This window comes from Homo sapiens, chromosome 7 (assembly GCF_000001405.40).
Source record: "Homo sapiens chromosome 7, GRCh38.p14 Primary Assembly".
Taxonomy (NCBI): Eukaryota; Metazoa; Chordata; class Mammalia; order Primates; family Hominidae; genus Homo; species Homo sapiens.
The window spans coordinates 25,772,105-25,793,006 of NC_000007.14; the positions used below are offsets into that span (position 1 = coordinate 25,772,105).

General features: G+C 41.6%; 1 long non-coding RNA gene across 6 annotated transcripts in view; it reads right to left on the reverse strand.

Annotated features, from left to right (window-relative positions):
• Window positions 1–18,015, reverse strand: part of LINC03007 (long intergenic non-protein coding RNA 3007) — a 196,819-nt gene extending 178,804 nt beyond the window's left edge. For 5 of the 6 annotated variants that reach the window (NR_157810.1, NR_157809.1, NR_157812.1 and 2 more), the window contains exon 1: window positions 4,004–4,095. This is a non-coding gene — a long non-coding RNA (long intergenic non-protein coding RNA 3007). Of the gene's footprint in view, window positions 1–4,003; window positions 4,096–17,648 lie in introns of those variants that run through there. The other variant, NR_157808.1, reaches the window with a different exon arrangement.
• Window positions 18,016–20,902: the final 2,887 nt, after the last annotated feature.

Here is a 20,902-nt window from a genome sequence, read left to right on the forward strand (position 1 = left end):
CAGAGTCTTGCTCTGTCGCCCAGGCTGCGATGCAGTGGCCCAATCGTGGCTCACTGCAACTCCACCTCCAGGGTTCAAGCAATTCTCCTGTCTCAGCCTCCCAAGTAGCTGGGACTACAGGCGTGCACCACCACGCCCAGCTAATTTTTTTATTTTTAGTAGAGACAGAGTTTCACCATGTTGGCCAGGCTGGTTTTGAATTCCTGACCTCAGATGATTCGCCCGCCTCAGCCTCCCGTGGTGCTGGGATTACAGGAGTGAGCCACCGTGCATAGCTGTGTAGTTTAATTAATCTATTTTACTGGTATCTTTTCCTAATTCTCTGAAAAGTCTGACAGAGCGAACTTTACCTCTTTCTATTCCTCCATTCCCTTTAAACTCTGCTGTGCATTTCAAGTGAAATATCATTTATCCTTGTTTTTTATTCTCTCCCATGTACTGTCCCTATAGTCACTGACTAAGATCCTCGAAGCCTCGAAAAATAAAAACACTGGGAAAAAGGAAAGATCTTCCAAAGAAAAATGAAAGTCTCTGTTGTTTTGTGGTTGCAAGACCACTGCCATAAGAACTAATAACAATAGCTGTCATTTATTGAGTGGCTACTTTGTGCCCAGTGCTGAGCATTAAATGCATAATCCTCCCACCAAACCAGTGAACTAGCACCATCATTATCTGCATTTCACAGAGGAAGAAAGTAACAGTTCAGGAGATGGATAAATTTTGACAAGGACTGTTTGTCTTTAGGAGGAAGACTATTTTAAAAGGCAGCTCAGCGTTCGCTTGGATGCAGTCTATCTTCGGAACTGCTTCGAACAGAAGGGGTAGAAAAATGCTTATTTTGTGGCTAATTGAATTAGTGCCTCTCTCTCAAACATAATGAAATTCAAAGCCATTTTATTAGCCCTCTTGGGACTCTTTTTAAAAATTCTTCCTCTACTGTATTAGATTAGCCTGCCAAGATGACCCTGTATAAAATGAGGTCAGGCTTCTTTCAGGGTATTTCTTTGTTGCTCCTACCTATACCAGGGCATGTGAAGGTCACTTTGTTCAGTCCTCCCATTTCCCTTCCAAATACCCCAGAAAGAGATCAGAGTATCTTCTAAACATCAGAATCAAACGGGCCCTCCCTCCATTCTCCCATATGCTCTCAGTGGCTAGTACTGTGTGTTTCTGGATGCATCATGAAAACATTACCTCCCACACCTCAGGGGAACGGAGATGTGTTTTAAAGGAAATTATGTTAGTCTCCAACCAGTGTCACCCCACTTGTACTCAGAGCCTTTGAAAAACTTGACTATGTGCTGAAAGGTCTTTTGAGGATAACATGATGCAGTGGACTAAATGTCTGTGTCCTCCCAAAATTCGTATGTTGAAACCCTCAAGGTGATGGTCTAGAAGGTGAGACCTTTGGGAGGTGATTAGGTCATGACAGTGAAGCCCTCGTGAATGGGATTAATCCCTTTTTAAAAGAGGCCCCAGAGAGCTCTCTCACCCTCTTTCCACCGCGTGAGAATATAATGAGAAGATAGCAGTCTGCAACCCAGAAGCAGGCCCTCGCCAGAACCTGACCATTCTGGCACCCTGATCTTGGACTTCGAGCTTTCAAAACTGTTAGAAATCAATGTTTCTTTTCTTTTCTTTTTTTTTTTTTTAGAGACGGAGTCTCACTCTGTCACGCAGGCTGGAGTGTAGTGGCGTGATCTTGGCTCACTGCAACCTCTGCCTCCCAGTTCAAGCAATTCTCCCACCTCAGCCTCCCGAGTAGCTGGGACTACAGGCGCCCACCACCATGCCCGGCTAATTTTTGTATTTTTTTAGTAGAGACGGGGTTTCACCATGTTGGCCAGGCTAGTCTTGAACTCCTGACCTTGGGATCTACCCCCCTTGGCCTCCCAAAGTGCTGGGATTACTGGCATGAGCCACAGTGTCCGGCCCCAATGTCTGTTCTTTCTAAGCCATCCAGTCTATGTTACCTTGTTACAGCAGCTCCAGATACATAGTCTGACTAAATATACAACTTGGAACAAACAGTAGCTATTATTAGGAACACAGCTTTGGAAAGACCAATTTGTAATCATGAAATGCCCTTCTTTGATATTCTTTCCAACCCCTCCCTTCCATGGACTCTTCTACATGGCCTTAGGCTGGAGACAACATCAAAGAATTTGAACCTAGCTCCACCACTACTAACGACATGGCATTGCTAAGTTACTTAACTTCTCTCCCACAGTTTTCTCATCTGTAAAATGGGGTTGCTAAAGTTGTCTATCTCCAACAATGCTGTGTAATATACCTAAGGCTCTTAAGTCAATGCCTGGCACTTGGTAAACCCCACAGAAGGGGTTTGCAATTTTTATTTTTCCCTTCCATCTATTCCTTCTCTCCTCACAATGCCCTGATTAAAGGAATGATTCCAGCCTCAGCCATTCACCCTCATTAGCTCAAGCTAATGTTTCTCAACTTTTTTTCATGAAGCAGTGTATTAATTGTTTTCTATCACAACAAAATACACATAAAAACACATACAAAATGTAAACAAGAGTTTCATGAAACAATATTTACCTTTATCATATGCAATGTGCTCTAGTCTTATCTTTTTTGTTTGTTTTGTTTTTTTGGTTTTCAAGCTAGTCACAGTCCACTAAATTTACTTCATGACTTAGCACTAGGCTGCTGCAGTTGGTTTGAAAAATAGCTGATCTAAGCTAACCACCATTCATTAAATTCTGACAACACCAGTATAAGGCAGATATGTCAATTTGACATATTTTTTAAAACTTAGGCACAGAGAGGTTAAGTGACTTACGCAAGGTCACACAGTTTGCCAATAACTGGCATAGGAACTTATGAAGATTGTTCCTGATCCAGAAGTAGGCAGGTGGCCTAAGTCAGCCCAGTTAAACTGAGTATGGAGGATGTGTGTAGCTCAATTGACCCCCATGTTACTAACCTGAGTGGGGTGCTGTGTCTGGGGAGAGCTGCCACTACAGATGGCAGCCTAGCCTAGGCTAGGCTCTCCAGTATGTATGTCTTTGTCTTCATTTTTAACAAAAAAAACAAGTTTAAAAAGTAGAAAATAAAGTTTAAAAATAGAATAAAATCTTATAGAATAAGGATATAAAGAAAGTATTTTTGTACAGCTATATCATGTGTCTGTGTTTTAAGCTAAATGTTATTATAAAAGAGTCAGAAAGTTTAAAAAATTAAAAAGTTTATAAAGTAAAAAAGTTGCAGTAATCTAAGGTTAACTTGTTATTATAGAAAGAATTTTTTATACATTTAGTGTAGCCTAAGTATACAATGTTTATAAAGCCTACAGTCGTGTACAGTAATGTCCCGCGTCTTCACCTTCACCCGCCACTCACTCACTGACTGAGCCAGAGCAGCTTCCAGTCCTGCAGGCTCCATTCATGGTAAGTGCCCTACAAAGGTGTACCATTTTTTACCTTTTACACCATATTTTTTACTGTATCTTTTCTATGTTTAGATATGTTTAGATGCATAAATAGTTACCATTGTGTTACAGTAGCCTAGAGTATTTGGTACAGTACCATGCCATACAGGTTTGTAGCCTAGGATATAGCGTATAGTTTAGGTGTGTAGTAGCCTATACCATCTAAGTTTGTGGAAGCACATGCTATGATGTACGCATAATGAGGAAATTGCTTAACAACACATTTCTCACAATGTATCCCCCCTCATTAGGCAATGCATGGCTGCAATATCAATCCCCATTTTGTAGAAAATGAAGCTCAAAAATTTTACCAGAGGAGTCCTAGCTAGTAAAAGGTGGATCCAAGATTCAGACCAAGGTCTGTCTGATATCAAGACACTGCACCACGCAGCCCACAGCAGACGGTGTACTCAAATATAAAGGACAAAATAAGGGGTTGATAGGTGCTGACTTTCTCCAAAGAAGGCCCATCATTACCACCTGCACCCTCCCCACCAACACAAGCACTCTGCTGCTCGCCTTAAATGTTCTTACCCCTTTCTACTTTACCTTACAGCTGTCAGTGTTTGTGCTTTAGGTTCTTCACTGGAACTCTGTGCTCCTAGGGAGAGGGGCCAGGGACATGTAGCTTGTAGCTCTGTGCCTGCATATCAAAGGCATGCAAGAAATACACAATTCATTGGTTGTTTTTGGATCACTTTTTGTCCCATTAAGAAATAATGGAGGAAGTGGAGAGGGGGTGAAGAGAATCCTCCAGAATTTGGTGATAAGTTTTATGCAAATTCCATTCCACATGCCCTGTCATCACTGTGTGTTATGTGCGGGCACTCCTTGCTGGTCCTTATAAGTATCTCTCTCAGACAGGCAAGAGGGTGGAAGAAAGATGGGTGGAATCACTTTAACAACAGATAAAATATTGGCACTGCTGTTGATGCAGGGACCAGACCAGCTAAATCTAACCCCTGTGGGTTTTCAGATCTGACCTAATCCTCCTCATTAAAGCTAAACTCTCATCCACTTTGGACTGTGGCCTGGCCCGGAGTTCATTTTAAATCCCAGGACCAATGGCTTTGCCAATATTTTATGTGTTCCCTGGGTAACTCTTGGAAGGCTGCATTCAAGAAGCAAACAGCTCTGACAGTGGCTATCACCACTTATAATGAATCCTTTGGTGGCCTCCCTACCTGCCAAATTCAGTGTAAACTCTTAGAATGCATCCAAGGTGCTCCAAAGCAGGCCTTCATTTTTTTTTAAATCTTAACTCCTATATTTCCTCCTCCCTTAGCCAAACTAGCCTACTCCAGTTGCCCCAAACATCCCCTGCTCCATGTGGCCTCTTGGCCTTGTTCATGCTGGTGCTTTTGCTTGCACGCCTTTGTAGCCATGCTGCCTGTTGTGATCACATCCTTTCTGGAAGGCCCAGCTCTAAGACCACCTCCCTTGTGAAGTCTTTGTTCTTTCTACAGGTACTCTCCCCATTCTGAACCCTCATAGCATTTTGCCTATATCTCTTCTAAAGCAGCTATGACAATTATTTGGGAACTGGCTTCTATCCACTAATTAAAATTTTAATATTCATGATTATTGCCAATTACTTACTTACTGGGGTTTCCTAATGCCAGGCATTGTGTTAAGTGCTCTGTATACATTAACTCATTTAATCTTCATTATATCTCATAAAGGATGTAAAAATGGAGGTAATAATAACCTACCTCATTGGTTTATTGTGAGGATTGAATGAGGACTACGCGAAAGTTCCATGCTTCTGAGTTCCATGCCTGTAAGCCTGGCAGGTTGTGAGTACTCAATACGTGTTTGCTATCACCATCATCGTTATTATCATCACGATCATCATCATTACCATGATCATCAAATCCATTTTACAGAAGAAGAAACTGAGTTGTCAAGTAATTTACATATAAGTACACCACTAGTAAAAAGTGAAACTTGTATACTGTGTTAATCACTGCCCTATACCACATTTTAATGTAAATCCTTTCAGGGCAGACATTGCATGAACACATCTTTATACCCCTTCAGAGTTTAGCACAGAGCCTGACCCAGAGGCAGCCTATAAGCATATGATGAATAAATAAGGCCCATCAAAAACTGTCAGATCTTGCTTGGTGGTTTCCACCAACTGCCATCTAATAGTTGATTTTCCTGGGTGGGGTGAAAATGTACACACCTGGTATAGGCTTTTCTGCATATAGGTTTGAATATAGGTTTCCTACTTGTCAATCCTTTCAAATGACGCACCTTCCTTAAGCTACTAAAAATGTCCTCTTCCAGTGCACGATGTAAATAAACGCAACTATTTTCACAATTTTAATATGAGCAAAGTATGTGTTCATGGTCCAAATTCTGCAGCCGTCCTGCCCAGACTCACGCATAGGAGTGAATGGATCTGAAGTGCATTAAGCACACCCACACTTTTCTCCTATCTCCCTCATCTTGTAGTTTCAGCTCAGGCTGCTTAGGTTTTGTTTACGTTGCCATAAATTAAAGGGCATGCTTTTTACACGTCCTGAATACATTTCACTCAAGATGACAGAGAATGGGAAAAGTGGTTTCGCTAACCCTCTCAAATGTCCCTCTCAAATGTCACATGGAGGAGCATGCTTTGCAGCCAGGCACAATGATACCTGAACAGGGGCATGACCACTTGAAATTAATACATAATCAACAGCAAGCTGCCCGTCGGCCAGAGATGGAGGGAGATCATTTTCACCCATGCATGACTGAAGCCTCTCACCCCAGGCGATGGTGTGCCTCTCAGCTAACCATGAAAATCGGTCACATATGTCTCCTGCTCTCTTACACAGCTGCGATTTGGCCACAATATTTCGATTTGTTTCACCAACATTTTCTAAGTGACCTACGACTTCATCATAGTCCCAGTTAGTCCCCTTGTGCAGAGCCCCCACACAGAGGCCTGAAGTCAACAATAATTGCTGAATCTCAAATATCCAGGGTCCCACCCATCCTGGCTTGGCCCCCGTTGTGCTGAAATCAGGTCAGATCCAGGGCTCCCAGCCACTCTAGGAAAACTGCAGAGACCAAGCTGCTTATCCAAGAGGAGAGGCTAAAGGTTAGTACCTAAGGGTGAAAAAAAAACCCACCCTTCTTACAGAGGCATGTTTTATACAGCATGGTGATGACAAAAGTAACATGTACACAAGATGCATGCATTCATCCCACCTAATAAAAATGAAAAGACTGTGATTTTCTGTAGGTCATTTTATTTGACCTGTCTTCACCCTCACAACAATCAAATTGTTCTGGTGTCATTATCTCCACTTTACAGATAAGAACACTGAGGCTCAAAAAGTTTGAGTTACGTGCTTAATGTTATTCAGCCCATTAATAGCAAAGTCAGGACTCATGGTTATGTGATTTGAGCCAGGACCCATTTTATGTGTTAGGGGCAGAGAGAAGCTCTGGCAGTTGTAGTCAACCCTGGTATCACCTGAGAATCACCCAGAGATCTATAAAAATTAACCCACCCCTCATGAGTGTCCCTGGCCAACCCCAGACCAATTGCATCAGAATCACTGGGGGAAAGGGCTCAGATATAGTTATTGCATTAGTCAGGGTTCTCCAAAGGAACAGAACAAGTAGGGTGTGTGTATATATATAGTGAGAGATTTATTTTAAGGATTTGGCTCACTTGATTATACAGGTAGGCTGGGTAGGCTGGCAGGCTGGAGACCCAGGAGAGAGCTAATGTTCCAGTTCAAGTCCAAAGGTCAGTCTTTTGTTCTGTGTAGACCTTCAACTGACTGGATGCGGCCCACCCATATTAGGGAGGACAATCAGGTTTACACAAAGTCTATTGATTTAAATGTTATTCTCATCCAAAAACACCCTCACACAAACACCCAAAATAGTGTTAAACCAATTATCTGCACACCGTGACCCAGTAAAGTTGACACATAAAATTCACCATGACGGGTATTTTTAAAGCTGCACAGGTGCTTCCACTGTGCAGCCAATGTGGAGAGCCACTGATCTGTCATTTCACGTACTCGTCACTGTCTCCAACCTCTTCAGAACCAGAATCCACCTAACCATTAACAAATTGCCCAGGATAGAGATAGACAAGGCATCTGTCCAAACCAGGTACTGCTTATTTTGTGGAAATTAGCAGAGTGGTTTCTATGGGTATGGCCAAGAGGTACATTTGGAGTTTTGCTAGAAGGTAGGTAAAGCAATCATATCATGCACAGGCCATTTTGGCTGCAGGTTGCAAATGGTTTCTGGTGAATGGCCAATGGGTAGTCTCTTTATTCTCTTCTCTAAGCCCTCTCAAAGCAAAATTCCCTATCTTAGAGGGAAGGTTTAATTTTTACAACTTGAAAAAAGCCAGAATGAAATGGTTCATTTGCACCTGGCCTATGGCTTGACAAGAAATCCTGGAGGCTAGTGTTGAAAGACAATAAATCTTTGCAAGATGGCAGGAAAATTTGTAGCCAGAGCTGGGCAAAGCGTCTTCTATAGCAATGAATTCAGAAAAGCTGATAGGACTGGCTGATAGTATATTTGCAAAATTTAGAAGCCCCTCTCTTGTTGGCTGAGAAAGTCTGAAAGTACAAAGCATTATGCCACTGAAGCATTAAGAGGCAGTATGCTTGTCTTATTTAATTTAGTTTTAAGCATCAAAACTTTGGTATTTTGTGGTGCATTGTTTTGGAAACATTGAGATGCATTTTACATAAGCTTAATTAACTCAGAATAAGTAAAGAGATTCACAGCAGCAAATCATTTGCTGGAAGATGGTTCTTTAGGGTCAGGATCCCTATGCAGTACAGGAGTGCCTCCTGGGAATCAGAGCATGAATCCTAGGTGACATACTCCTCCCAGCTGCCCCCTAGGATGCAGGTGCTGCCACTAGGTCCAGGCTCAGAGATGCCTGCTGAGTTGCCATTTTCCTCCTTATAGAATTCCTTCTCTGCCCATTTCTTTTTCTGGCTTACTCCTCTTTTTGTTCACTTCAGTTTATAACACAGATGTTAGCTAATCATGATTTTTATCTGGATCCTCCAACATCCCAAAGGAATATTTTAGAAGGGACTTTTTCTATGGTAAAATGGCAGGCCATAGGATAATTCCAGTGGGTTGGGGAAAGATATTTGGGAAGGAGATGTATTAGGAGGCTTAAATTATACCATGTGACTGGTTCTCATGGCCTTCAGTGGTAACTCACAGTAACTTTACCACCTGTTATGGCTGAATTGTGCTTCCTCCCTGAAAAAAGGATATATTGAAATGCTAACTGTCAGTACCTCAGAATGTGACCTTATTTGGAAATAGGGTGATAAAGTTAAAATGAGGTCATTAGGATGGGCCCTGCTATGGTTTGACTGTGTCATCTTCAAAATTTAGGTCTTGAAACTTAATGGCCAATATGATGAAATTAAGAGGTGGGACCATTAAGAGGTGATTAGGCCATAATGACTCCTCCCCCAAGAACAGAATTAAATCACTATTAAAGAGACTTCATGCAGCATTCAACTAGCCTGCGCTTCCACCTTCCACCGAGTGAGAGCACCACATTCCTCCCCTTCAGAGGATGCAGCATCAAGGCACCATCTTGGAAGCAGAGAGCAGCCTTCACCAGAAAACCAAACCTGGCAATGCCTTGACCTTGGACTGCCAGCCTCAAGAACCATAAGAAAGTAAATTTCTGTTCTTTATAAACTACTCAGTCTCAATTACCCTGTTAGAGCAGCACAAAGTGGACTAAGATAAGCCCTATTCCAATATGACTGGTGTCTTTATAAAATGGGCAAATTTGGACATATGGACAGACACACAAAGACAGAAGATGATGTAAAGACCAGAGAACATATGTGAAGATGAAAGAGTGGGTGACGCATCTGCAAGCCAAAGAATGCCTAAGGCTACACGAAGCTAAGAGAGAGACATGGCACAATCCTTTCCTAGTGCCTTCAGAGGGAGAACAGCCCTATTGACACCTTCATTTCAGATTTCTAGACTCCAGAATTGTGAAGCAACAAATTTCTGTTGTTCTAAGCCATCCATTTGTGGTTCTTTGTCACATCATTTCTGGGACTCTAATATACCACCTGTTTTACCTTTTAGCCAAGGCTCTTGTATCAATTGTCTATTGCCCCAATAAAGCTACACAACAAACTACCACAAAATTTCAATTGCAAACAACAACAAACACTAGTCAAACTCATCAAGTCTGTAGGATCCAGCTAATTTGAACTGAGCTCAACTAATCTTTGCTAGGCTTTCTTAAGAGGTCTCTGTCAGCTGCACATCAATCTATCAATTGCTCCTGCCAATAATAGTGGCTTGCTCATCATGTGTTTGGGTGTTGACTGGTTCCTAGCTGATATAGGTTGGCCTTAATCAGAATGACTGGGATGACTTGGCTTCTTTCACCTATCTCATTTTCCAGCAGGTTAGCTCAAATGTATTTCTCTCAAGGCAATAGCAGATGGCAAGAGCACAAGCAGAAATAAACAAGTACCTTTTCAAGCCTCCATTTGCATGATGCATGCTAACGTCCAATTATTCTGAGTAAGTCATATGGCTGGGTCCCTTGTAGAGCACTATAAGATTATAGGACTATGGGTTAGAGAGGGGTATAGAATAAGGGCCCTTAATGCAATCAATCTACTATAGCTCTGATTTCCATGTAAAACTCTCAGAAATAGGGCAGTAAAGTACCCCCTGGAAAAGCCCCTAGCATTTTTTCTGTGTTTGGACAGTCTACCTTGTTCAATCACAACACAGTTATCCAGCTAGTCAATCTTCATAGGGATTGACTCTAGGCTAAGAACTCTAGGGTATACAGAAATAAGTAAGGATTGTGTCCTACCATAAGGGAGCTTCTAATATAATAGCCATAAACCCAAAAAATGTCAGCATGATGAGGACCTTGAGAAGGGCCAAAGAGGTACCAATAAGTTGTCACAGGGTTGAGATTGCCAAATACCATGATCTGCAGAAGGGTCCAAACCCATAGTAAAATTATCAGAAGTCTAATGTGAAATGATGCAGAAAAAATGTAGACAGATTTTTTTGGTAACATTAACTCTGTCCTACTTTAAAAACTATTGTTTATTCTGAAATCATGTCCTTCCTACCTTTGAAATTAACATACTAACTTTTATAAAGTAGAAAACAGTTTTTGTTTGTGCATTTTTAAATATCATTCCTTGGTAAAATAAAAGTTCTCCATCCAAATCGATCCTTCCCAAATCCCCAAGTTGTTTCTTGGTTTTATCCCAATAGTCTGTGCATCACAGCTAGAGAGAAGGGAGAGAGCACTTTCAGAGGAATCATTCCACAGAAAAGGGATCATCTGAGACAGGCCTTGAAGGGTGAGCTGGATTTCAGCACATGGAAATGACTATGAATGGGATGGAGCCTAGAAAAGGTGCAAGGTGGGGAGTAAGACTAGGTCATCTCTATTCACAGCCAGGAATAAAGTTTATCTGGGCACCCTTGAGCAACTGAAGTTGCTGGAGGCAGGGCTCCTTGAGAGCAACAAGCATCACCTTGAGGTCCATCTTCCCTTCCTTTAGCAGGCCTGTTTTGGCCTGGCTGCAACTGACTCCTGGAGATTGTCTCCAGCCACATATTTTGAAGGTTTCTCACCATTGCTACAGGCTATAGGACAATTTTCCTCTATTCCTGCTCCATCTACCAGTAGTGCTTACTGGAAATCAGCTTTCCATACCTTTCCTTCCAGTTGCTGCTTCTCCTACAGGAAAGTCAAGCTGATTGGATGAGACCAAAGCTAATTTTTTTCTGTCCTGAACCATCTGCCCACCGGCATTCTCCAGGGTTGTCCTATTGTGAGCCACCCCAGTAGGCATCCTTGATGCAAAGACCACATTCTCATCTCAACTGAGCAAGAATAATAATAGAAATTATAATATTGCTTATTTGATATTAATTCAAAGCATAGCTACAGAACAGAGCTCTTTAAACCCAAGTCAGTCTGACTCAAAAGCTGGTGCACTCCGCCATCTCCCCATACACACACGTACATACTACGATAACCTCCTTGATGTTTTCATCGCCGCAGATACTACTGAAAAAGTAAAGTAGGCCCATCATCCTAGTTACTACCCAGCCCTAGTAGCCCAGGTTCAAACATCACTTGGGAATCACAGAATTGGATAGTTTTCTTTCAGCTAGAATTTTGAGGTTGGGCTTAGATTGGAAATCACCTCTGTTCATCTGGAGTAAGGGCTTTTAATACTTTTTAATAGTTTATACTTTGGAGCACTGTGGCTCAGAGTTACCATCAAGGGGCCACTGCATGCAGTCCCACGGAATTTACTGGAGTTGGAGGATGGAGAATTCCATTGTCCTCATTCCACATGTGCTACCTCAGGGCCCAAACTTCAGGACAGCTCGATGAATGAAATGATGACATTTGCCAAAAACAGCAGCTATACCACACAGAACCGCTGAGCACGTGAAATTGAATGGCAATGTATTGTAAGATTTTGAACACAGATCCAGGATAAGGTTAACATAATACTCCTTTTTAAAAGTCACCAAAAGAGAACGCTTTCAGTGCAAAGACTTCCATTTGCATAACACCTTACGCTTCTCAGCATACTCTCACCTCATTGGATACAAACTAATCACTAGCATAACAAACTAATATCATCTCTTTTACAGAAGAGAAAGTTAGCTGCTAGTCCAAGTCAACTGATCTATGCAAAGTTATATGGCTTGTCAATAATGGATATGAGACTAGAATTCAGGACAGGTATTTTTGTGGCCAAGTCTACTCAGATAAACACAATTAAGCTAGTTTTGTTGACTTGATTTGTTTTGTTGGCCTGTTTCATTTTGCTAGAGAATCTTGATTAACCAATTAGATTATCTGGAACTCATGTTGCTTTGTAAATGGAATAGTTGCCTGCAGCAATCTCAGACCATGTAAGTGGGATCACTCAATTGACTTAACCAGAAAAGAGGTCTAAGCTGCATAAATGGAAAAGAAGACATACTCAGATATTTGGACATTCCTTCAAGACTGTAGACCCTCATTACCATGAGTGTTCTGACCCAAATCAGATGGGTGCAATGCGAGGGAAGAGTTTCCCAGCCCAGTGTCATATTGAGAACTCTTGGCAACAAGCAATGCCAGAATTCTATCTAAAAGAAGTTTTGTTAGGGATGGCAGTTCCCACTGGAAGGTGTGTGTGTGTTGCATTATATGTTTTGGATCAAAAAAATTTTTTTCTGAAGTAGCTTTCAACTAACTTTGCATAAATTGAGAAAATTTAAATTGCACCTAAAAGAGAATATTAGAAACTATTAGAATAAGAGGAATATTAAAAAATATTAAAATATTAATGGTAGCAGTAGTTGTAGTAGTAATCATGGTAGTAGGGTGACCAATTTTTCCGGTATGCACAGGACCATCTCAGTTACACAGCAGAAAGCCCCACATTTCAGGGTCTCTGTCCAACCCATCCCAGACAAGTTGGGACAGTTGATCACTCTAAGTGATAGAATGATATTAATAATTGTTATTATTTTTATTTTTATTTTTATTCTTATCAGAATGGCTAGAGGGGAATCTGACAGAATTGTATGGTACTTCAATCTCAAAGCCACCATCTTGATGTTGCCACTGACTGCCTAAATTGGGTTATTTGGTGGCAAGTTATCAGCGTCCAATGAAGCTGGTCCTCAAGGTTGTCATCCTTCCCCAGTGGCCATGTTCCTTCTCCCCATCTGGACTTTCAGCATCAATCTACTCAAGTGACCACCAAATATCGCCAAACCCAGTTGAATGCCTCATTGGGCCTGGTCCTCTCTCAGCAACATCTGTTCCCCTCTGAGTGTAGGGAACTCTTGGGGCTATCCTGAGCAATAATCTCTACTCTGGGTTCTTAATTCATCCCCAGGGGTCTCTCCAGGAGCTCAAGGTTTCTCTACTTGCAGATGGCCCTAAACACCTCTGGAGTTTCTGTTGTCTCGAAAAGAGCAAGAGGGACTATAAATACTATGTGTATTAGGAAGAGGAAAGCAAATGGGGTTGGGAATGCCGAAAGAGTTGGGACTGGAAATGTATTCTGAAGGTATGGTAAGGTTTAGATAGGAACAAGCAAGAGGAAATGCATTTCAAGTGGGGGAAAACACAGGAACAAAGAACTAAAGGGCATTAACAAATGTCTGGGGACTGGGAGGCAGACATGCCTCAAGGAGAGGATGAGGGAGGTGGAGATTAATGGAGAAGGAAAGATCTATACTCTTTATTCAGTAGACCAGTGTTTCTCAAACAGGACTGATTTTTCCCTCCAGGGAACATTTGGCAATGCCCAAAAACATTTTTGGTTGTCATGACTCAGTGGGGATGTAATTTGGTCTGAATGTTTATGTCCCCCCAAAATTCTTATGTTGAAATCCTCACCTCCCTACAAGATGATGGTATTAGGAGGTGGAGGCTTTGGGGGTGATTAGGTCATGAAGGTGGAGCTCTCACAAATAAGATTAGGGCCCTTATGAAAGAGACCTGAGAGACTTCTCACTCCTTCCACCCTCTGGGGTTAGAGTTAGAAGTTGGCTGTCTGTGAGGAAGTGGGTCCTCAAGAGACACCAAATCTACTGGCACCTTGATATGGGACCTCCCAGCCTCTAGAACCATGAGAAATAAATTTCTGTTGCTTATAAACCACCCAATCAATGACATCAATGTCAATAGCACCAAGGTTGAGAAACCTTGCAATAGACAATGGGGAGGCACAGGAGGTTTTTGAGCAGGAAAATGACAAAATGATGTCAATGCCGATAGCTTCATAAAGCTGAGAGGAAATTAGCTAGCACAAGAACATCTCTCTTTATGCAATGGAGCATTTCCTAAAAAGCTTTGTGTTTTTTGTGTGTTTTTCTTTAAAAAAATCAATATTTTAGAAATTCAATTTTATTTTAAATGTACTAGAGCAGCTACTAGACAAATCTAGGGATGAATACACTCCTAGAAAGTGAAGAATCTTGCCAACGCAAGCATCATTCCTGTCTCATTCTGATATATCCAAATGGCTGTACTTTAGTGTCTCTCAAAGTGGGTTACACCTAAGTCTCTTCCAGACACCGGAGGACAATGCAGGCTTCCCCCCAAAGAATGGAAGATGAGAAGCCAGATTCCCTGGTTCCTACCCACTGTGTGACCCAGAGCAGCTCTATATTAGATCATTAGCTGCTTCCAGGATCATCATTTCTTTTTCTCCATGATTCATTGACTCTTAAATGCAACCATTTCTTCACCCTGTCATTGTGGAGCACATAATCCAAAATTTTATTGAAATCAAGAGATGTTTTCCTTGCTATTATATTGGGAGCAGAATACGATTCCTTTGAACACTTCCAAAGTTCATTTTTGTTTCTCAGTGACTGCTTTCAAGTTTTCAAACAAGAAAGGATTTTGTTTTTCTCTGGCTAAAGCTTATTTTTACCCAGCCTTGGTTTTCTTTCCTTTCCTTTAAAAATCCTCAGCACATCTAAGTACACTAAATATTTATGAATGTAATTTATGAGCTTTGGCCGTTTACTCCTTGCCAAAACTAAAAAGTATGTCTGTGTGTGGCCTGAAAAATCCCAGCTATGACAAAACCAAAACAGAGAAATAAGCAACTACTTCACATAAAAAAAGAGAAAAAGAGGTCAAACTTCACAAAAGTCCAGAAATTACTCACTTGACATATTCAGACTGGCACAAAGGAAAATAAATAATATTACATCTCCTCCAAGAACCTTGTCCTGTATGTCCTGCCTCAGATGTCCTGCAGTAAACATTTATTGAGAGCATCAGGAGGGAAAATGTCCCAGGCATCTGAAAGACAGAGGCCTGCAGCTTGCTGGGCAGCTAGGGCCCAGGGTGCTGCCCACCTCAGCCCTGTCCCCCAAAGCCTGTGTCAGCTGCGTATACTGAGCACTTAACTGTGCAGGAAGGGAAGTCAGCAGATCTCTAATGAATTCCTGATCTGACTCCAATCCCTCTCTTCCTTGAACACATTTCTTTGGAGAATCAAAACCCAACATCTGGAATTTGGCTTTTCACTGTCACAGGATGTCTCCAATGCTGGCTCTTGTTTCTGGAGTTACATAATTTCTCCTAAGCAGCTTTTTTCTCACTTCAAAAAGAAAGTGAGAGAGATTGCAGAGGAAATGCCTATGATATTAAAAAGTCATAAGCACTCATCTGTGATAACAAAAAAGCAGTGGTCCTGGACACACATAGGTTCTGATAGTTAACGACGAACTTGAGGGAATGAGGCCTGGTGGAACTGACCATAAATGAACAGAAATAAAGAGTGTGAGGAAAAGAGGTAAATGCCTCATGATGTGCAAACATTGTGGCAGTGGTTTAAACATCTCAGGAAGGAATTGAAGAATCATTGGTTTGATAGGCATCTGGTTAGCTCAGACCATCTCATCAAGATAATCTTATAAACCTTCAATCAACGGTTGGCTTAAAGTCTTTAAGCCTTGCCACTAGACACCTCCTGCATACTGCAGAAGGGCCACCTTGGAAGCGCATACTGCAGTGTTCAAGAAAGAACCTGAGGCAATTACAGACACCTGTCTATAGCAGCCAGACCCCAGACCAGCCCACAGCTTTCACTGGGCAGACCTTGGCTTTTCACCCAAGATTCCACTGGCCCCACTGAGTGGAAATGAGCTTTGTAAACCACTGCTTGTTCTCTTGAAAGAGGCAGTTGACCTAATGGCTGATTATTTTCCTGAAATGGCCCCTTGAACTGGAGTTCCATTCTCCCTATTAAAGGAGAACAGGAATAAATACAATCCAAGAATCATTATAAACAGAGTTTTACTCTCCTCCTGTTGAAACTTCTACCACAGCTCTAAAGTGCCTCAGTGCAGAAGATTTAAGAAAAAAAATAGGTCCATTCTTAAATGCTCAAGGATTTTAATCTCAAAATGTATGTAAGTTCTCTGCCTAACCCAGAAATGAGAGCCAAGAGCAGCTGTGTGTGTGTGTTTGTGTGTGAGCATGAGTGGTGTTGGGTGAGTGTGATGACATTGTTGAATATTTTATCCTCTTCCAAGAAACCAGTATTGGTAAGTAGATTAGATTGAATTTCTCTGGAATCTCAAGATGTCTCTCCATTCAGAGTGCTTAAACATAAGAAAGGTTCTAAAGTTGTCATAAAGTCATCAACTTTAAAACTGAACACTGTGTGCCTGGTGCTTGGGATTCAATAGTTAACAGGTATGGTCTCTCCTCAGGAAGCCTATGGTCTAACAGGAGATCTAGATGATGAAATAGGCAATCACCATTTAGGGCAATAAGTGTCCATTCACGTCACAATGGGAAGTTTGAGACTCCCTGGAAGCATATATGAGAGTCACTTAACTCAGTCTTTGGAAGTCAAGCAAGGCATCATGGAAGAAATGACATCTAAGCTGAGATCAGAGAAGCAAGGCAAAAGTTTAAAAGAGAAAGGACAGAACATCAAGGCAGAGGCAATCTTAATTGCAAAGCCCCAGAAAGGAAAGTGCATGGCTTTTGGCTGAAATGTAATTAACAGGCGATAAACAAAGACAGATTTCATAAAGAGGGATCAACAAACCTTTCTGTAAAGGACAGACAGTAAGTAATTTAGGATTTATGGGTCATGCACTCTGTTGCAACTATTCAATTCTGCTGCTGTAACTAGAAAGCACCCATGGACAATATGTAAATGAATGTGTTTTCATAAAACTTTATTTACAAAAACAGGTTGTAGGTCAGACCCAGCTGACATCCTGACTCTGCTGGCACCTGAACCCTCACTGTTCTGTGGTCCCCAGGCCAGCAGCATCAGCATCACCTTGGCAGCTCATTAGAAAGGCAGACTCTCAGACTCTCCCTTCTGACCTATAATCTGAATTTTACATTCGAGAGATCCCCAGGTTGACAGAGCCCTGTTAAGGCATTTGGTCTCTGTCTTTGACACACTCATGTATGCATGTTTGAAAGATCCCTGTGGCTACAGTACTGCAAGTACACAACAGTGAGCAGCTCCTGAAATTTTGTCTCCCTCGTTGCCCAACTTGCCTCCCTTATACCTGGTCCTGGTGAGGAAAATGGACAGTAGAGGGCAAGACGGCAGGATGGTTTCTCTTTTCTCCCAGCCCCTGAAAGCCCACCCCTATCCCACCTCCCTTCACAACAAAGGCTGACCTTCAAAAACTACTGGAGGTAGTACTCATTACGCTTCCCAAAGGCTAACCGACTGGGTGTATTTCTAAGTCTCACTTGAAGCCATTCTTCTAGGGACCTCCTACCAGACCAGAGCTGGGCATCGTGTTTCTCTGCTGTCCATTAGGTCCTCCTTTGTTCCCATAGACATTCCATAGCACTCTGGGGGTCCAGTCTTCTGGGCCAGTTCCACCTCTAGAGGTATTTCTGGCCAAATGGGCTTGATGTCGGCTTCCAGACAAGCATGCAGGCAGCAGCTCTGAGCGTGAGCAGAATAAAGCCCCTTAATTAGGCAAGAGAGGGACTCAGCCAGCTGTGCACACTTGAGGGAAGACATCCATCAAAGAATGCATCTCCCTTCCCTACCTTTTATTTATGCTTTAGAAAATCCAATTAAAGCCGAGCCTGGCACTCTCCTAACTTTCAGCCATTTAACACATACAACAGAGTTGCTGGCCATGAATTTAAACACGCACATACACACACAGTCATGCGTGCACACAAAATAAACATGCACACATCCTGTTTCTTCCTTGTGGGCTCCCAGGACTTAGGGACTTTGGGTGTGCCTGTGGACGCTTAGCCAAAACGATGACCAAAGGTTGGTCAGAAAATGTCATTCAGCTGCTTTCGCTGGTTTCTCATGTCTTTTCCACTGCATCTGATGATTATATTTCATCCACATGCCTTTCCTGCTCATTTGGGCTTGTCCTTGGGGATGATTCACTGAGATTATGCTGATGTGAACAAACTCTGTGAACGTTTTTCCCTGCTGTTTCACTGGTTTAAGATTAGACTGCCACTTTATAGTCCAACCTTCACTTTGCTGGCAGTACCTTGATAACGTATGGCCCCAGGAAAGACACCCTGTGGAAATTACTGCAATTATCAGGCTTGGACAAAATGGACACTGGGAATTTCCTGGTGTGGGGCATGCTGAGCTCCTCATGTCTGTAAATGCCCCATGCCAGGTCAACTACTCTGTCACCTGAGTGCAGGAACTCAACACACATGCACTCAGTCACCTGAGCCCCCGAGAGTACCTTCTCACATCTAGAACCCTGTAAATGCTCTTTCTGTCCTACCAGTGTATTTGGTACATGACAAAGCTTAACATTTTTTAAATGGGATAAACCCCAGGCATAGTGTTGGGAACTTGGATTTTAGGGTCAGCCAACTTTAGTATGAATCCCCATTCTGCTTACTAGCTGAGTAACCTTGAACATGTGGCCTAACCTTCTCTATGACTCAGTTTCGCTATATTTTAAAATGAGGATAACGATAGTACCTGGCTCACAGGGTTATGGTGAGGGTTCTATGAGATCATGCACATGGAGGAGTTGGCAGAGTGAATGGAACATGGTAACACAAACAAATGTTAGCTATAATTCCCAGGGTTTATTATTGTTAAAGCCTTCCCTCCAGCTTTCGCTAATCCATGTGTGTCCCTTCTCTCAAAAGCTTTCCTAGCTAAACCCAGCCAGCCAGGACATGATTTTGGTTCTTGTTCGCCAGCACATTTAAATAGGGCTGCTAGTGGCTTTGCTTTTACTGGGTTTTCAAAAAATGTTTCCCATTTACATGTTTTATCTCCTCAAGCAAATTATAAATTTCTTAAGGGAGAGGACCTGATCTTGTTTTGCTATGACCCTCCCACACCCTAAGATATTTACCATAATGATTACATCTTAATCATTTTCCCCTTATAGTATCAATGTTTATTTTAGATTTGGGGATACATGTGCAGGTTTGTTACGTGGGTATATTGCATGATGCTGAGGATTGGGGTACAAATGTTCCCATCACCCAGGTAGTGAGCATAGTACCCAACAGTTTTTCAACCCGGGCTTCTCTCCCTCCCTCCTCCTTCTTGTAGTTCCCAGTGTCTATTGTTGCCATCTTTAACATCTTAATCTTTGATGAATAAATTTTATTTAAGAATATATAGCATAATGTGTATTACAAGTAACATGGATTTGGTTTGGTTTATCATCTGTGGTCCTGTGACCTGTGCACATGGAGAAGCACAGACTAAACAGAAATTTCCTTTTGTCATTAAAGTAGTCAGAATGCCAGCTCTGTAGCCTGACTTCCCAGTTTGAATTCAAGCTTTTCTCGTTACTAATCATGTGACTGGGGAAAGCTTCCTAACTCTCCCAGCCTTGGTTTACTTATCTGTAAAATGGGAATTTGGGTGAAGATTAAATGGGTTAGGGCAAGTTAGGTGCTCCAGAACATTGTAATTTATTATTGTTTATAAATAATTTGATATAAAATTAATACTACAAACACATTTGCAGAGAAGAATGGCATTAAATAGAGGAATAAACTATTTGATAAAAATTATACTATATTGACTTTTTAGCATAACCCATAATCACATGCCAAATAAATTGTGTAAATGATGCAATTGTTTTTCCCTTAACAACTTTTTTTTACATAAGTATATACAATCTTTATTTTCAATAAAGAAATAATATGAAAAGAAGAATCACAACACCCAAAAATCCCCCCCAAAATTTAGCTTTTCTGTAAGTGTGTGGTAGTGTTTCATCATGGTTTTGATTTGCCATTTCCCTAATAATTGACGATCTTAAGCATCATTTCAGGTACTTATATGCTCTCATTGAGTTAAATACATATTCAAATAAGTTGTCCATTTTTTAGAATTATTTTTTATTTTATTGAGTTTTGAGAGTTCTTTATATATTCTGGACACAGTTCCTTTGCTAGATATGTATTTTGCAACTATTTTCTCTCTGTGGCTTTTCACTTTCTGAACATGTTTGAAGAGCAGATTTTATTAAAAATTTTGATGATGTCCAATTAATCATTTTTAATGACTCTTCCTTGTGTACTAACAAATCTTTTCCCATCACAGGGTCATAACATTTTCTCTTTTTTTCCTAGTAAAGTGTATTAGTCTATTCTCACACTGCTATAAGGATATATCTGAGACTGGATTTATGAAGAAAAGAGGTTTAATTGGCGCACAGTTCCACAGACAGTACAGAAGGCGTGGATAGGAGGCCTCAGGAAACTTACAATCACGGCGGAAGGGGAAGGGGAAGCAAGCACGTCTTACTACGGCCAAGCAGAAGAGAGAGAGAGAGAGAGCGAAGGGGGAAGTGCTATACACTTTTAAACAACCAGATCTCACTCACTATCACGAGAACAGCAAGGAGGAAATCTGCCCCCATGATCCAGTCACTTCCCACCAGGCCCTTTCTCCAACA